This window comes from Homo sapiens, chromosome 5, assembly GCF_000001405.40.
Source record: "Homo sapiens chromosome 5, GRCh38.p14 Primary Assembly".
Classification (NCBI taxonomy): Eukaryota; Metazoa; Chordata; class Mammalia; order Primates; family Hominidae; genus Homo; species Homo sapiens.
This window is the reverse complement of record NC_000005.10, coordinates 104,068,986-104,071,580: the sequence shown is the minus strand read 5'-3', so window position 1 is coordinate 104,071,580 and position 2,595 is coordinate 104,068,986. Positions and strand designations below refer to the sequence as shown.

Below are 2,595 nucleotides of genomic sequence, written 5' to 3'. Positions count from 1 at the left end.
TGAACCAAAACTGAGTGCAGAGGCTCAAAAAATCACATCAAGATACTCTTTGTTTTTCTTTTTTTCTTTTTTCTTTTGAGACGGAGTCTCGCTCTGTGGCCCAGGCTGGAGTGCAGTGGCACGATCTTGGCTCACTGCAAGCTCCGCCCCCCGGGTTCATGCCATTCTCCTTCCTCAGCCTCCCTAGTAGCTGGGACTACAGGCGCCCGACACCACGCCCGGCTAGGCTAATTTTTTGTATTTTTTTAAGTAGAGATGGGGTTTCACCATGTTAGCCAGGATGGTCTTGATCTCCTGACCTCGTGATCCACCCGCCTCGGCCTCCCAAAGTGCTGGGATTACAGGTGTGAGCCACCGTGCCCAGCCTTGTTTTTATGTGCAAACTTTGCTTTCCTCTATATTGTCTTTATTCTTAGAATACCTCTTCTATTGGCAATGATGAGTACAGATTTATTACTGAAAATGTCTTCAAAGACAGCACTTTGTTCCCTTGATTTCAGTAAATATTCAAACACTAAATCTCACTATTCTATCTTGATAAAGATTGAGTCAATTGCTGTGGCCAATTAGATGGGATCACCTATTTGGTTATATTTGGGTCGTTCTTGCTGCTAGATGTTAAAGCCAGCCTCATCGAAGCCATAAGTACTAAGACTAGGAGAGGTTGATTTCATGTAGGCAAGTATATTACTAAAATTTTAAAATATGATACACTAGGCAAGCAAAAAATAACAATGTACCTCAAGAGTCCTTCTTAGAAAAACTTAAGATGATGAAGTTGATTTAATCAGGAAAGTAATGAAAAAGCTATGTCGAAATACCTGGTAATGAGTGTCAAAAACCTAAAAACAGAAAACTATATTCAATTATGTTAAGAAATTATGGGAAATATAATTATTGAGAGAATATTTATGTTATAGATTCTGGTGATATAGAAATGAGACTATAGCAAAATTGGAAAATAAAATTTAGGGGAGAAGGGTGAAGGGGAAAATTAGAAAAAATGAAGAAATATAAACAAATTGATTTTAGCATTTTTGACAGCAGGGTGGTTATAGCTTAAAAATGGGAAATAAGATTCATTTTAGAGGAAACATATTGTCAGGCCTCTGAGCCCAAGCCAAGCCATCGCATCCCCTGTGACTTGCATGTATATGCCCAGATGGCCTAAAGTAACTGAAGAATCACAAAAGAAGTGAAAATGCCCTGCCCCACCTTAACTGATGACGTTCCACCACAAAAGAAGTGTAAATGGCCAGTCATTGCCTTAAGTGATGACATTACCTTGTGAAAGTCCTTTTCCTGGCTCATCCTGGCTCAAAAAGCACCCCCACTGAGCACCTTGCGACCCCCACTCCTGCCCGCCAGAGAACAAACCCCCTTTGACTGTAATTTTCCTTTACCTACCCAAATCCTATAAAACGGCCCCACCCTTATCTGCCTTCGCTGACTCTCTTTTCAGACTCAGCCCGCCTGCACCCAGGTGAAATAAACAGCCATGTTGCTCACACAAAGCCTGTTTGGTGGTCTCTTCACAGGGACGCGCATGAAATTTGGTGCCGTGACTCAGATCGGGGGACCTCCCTTGGGAGATCAATCCCCTGTACTCCTGTTCTTTGCTCCGTGAGAAAGATCCACCTATGACCTCAGGTCCTCAGACCAACCAGCCCAAGGAACATCTCACCAATTTTAAATCAGGTAAGCGGCCTCTTCTCACTCTCTTCTCCAACCTGTCTCACTGTCCCTCAACCACTTTCTCCTTTCCACTCTTCAATCTCTCCCTTCTCTTAATTTCAATTCCTTTCATTTTCTGGGAGAGACAAAGGAGACACGTTTTATCTGTGGACCCAAAACTCCGGCGCAGGTCACGGACTGGGAAGGCAGCCTTCCCTTGGTGTTTAATCATTTCAGGGATGCCTCTCTGATTATACACCCACGTTTTAAGGGTGTCAGACCATGCAGGGATGCCTGCCTTGGTCCTTCACCCTTAGCGGCAAGTCCCGCTTTTCTGGGGAAGGGGCAAGTACCTCAACCCCTTCTCTCCTTATCTCTACCCCTTCTCTGCTTTTCTGGGAGAGGGGCAAGTACCCCTCAACCCCTTCTCCTTCACCGTTAGTGGCAAGTCCCACTTTTCTGGGAGAGGGGCAAGTACCCCTCAACCCCTTCTCCTTCACCCTTAGTGGCAAGTCCCTCTTTTCGAGGGCAAGAACTCCCAATCCCTTATTTCTGTGCCCCAACCTCTTATCTCTGTGCCCCAATCCCTTATTTCCATGCCCCAACCTCTTATCTCTGTGCCCCAATCCCTTATTTCCGTACCCCGACCTCTTATCTGTGTGCCCCAATCCCTTATTTCCGTGCCCCAACCTCATATCTCTGCACCCTAATCCCTTATTTCTGTGCCCCAACCTCTTATATCTCTGTGCCCCAATCCCTTATTTCCATGCCCCAACCTCTTATCTCTGCACCCCAACCCCTTTTTCCACTTTTCTGGAAGGTAAGAACCCCCCCAACCCCTTCCCTCCATTTCTCTACTCTCTCCTTTCTCTAGGCTTGCTTCCTTCACTATGGGCAACCTTCCACCCTCCATTCCTCCTT

The 2,595-nt window shown here is 45.4% G+C and overlaps 1 annotated feature.

Moving 5' to 3' along the window:
• Positions 970–1,884: an enhancer, noted in NCBI's record as "OCT4-NANOG-H3K27ac hESC enhancer chr5:103405398-103406312 (GRCh37/hg19 assembly coordinates)". NCBI's record gives its function as "activates a minimal SCP1, AML or CMV promoter by ChIP-STARR-seq in naive and primed H9 embryonic stem cells {active_cell/tissue: H9 hESC(naive and primed)}" and the evidence as "EXISTENCE:reporter gene assay evidence [ECO:0000049][PMID:30033119]".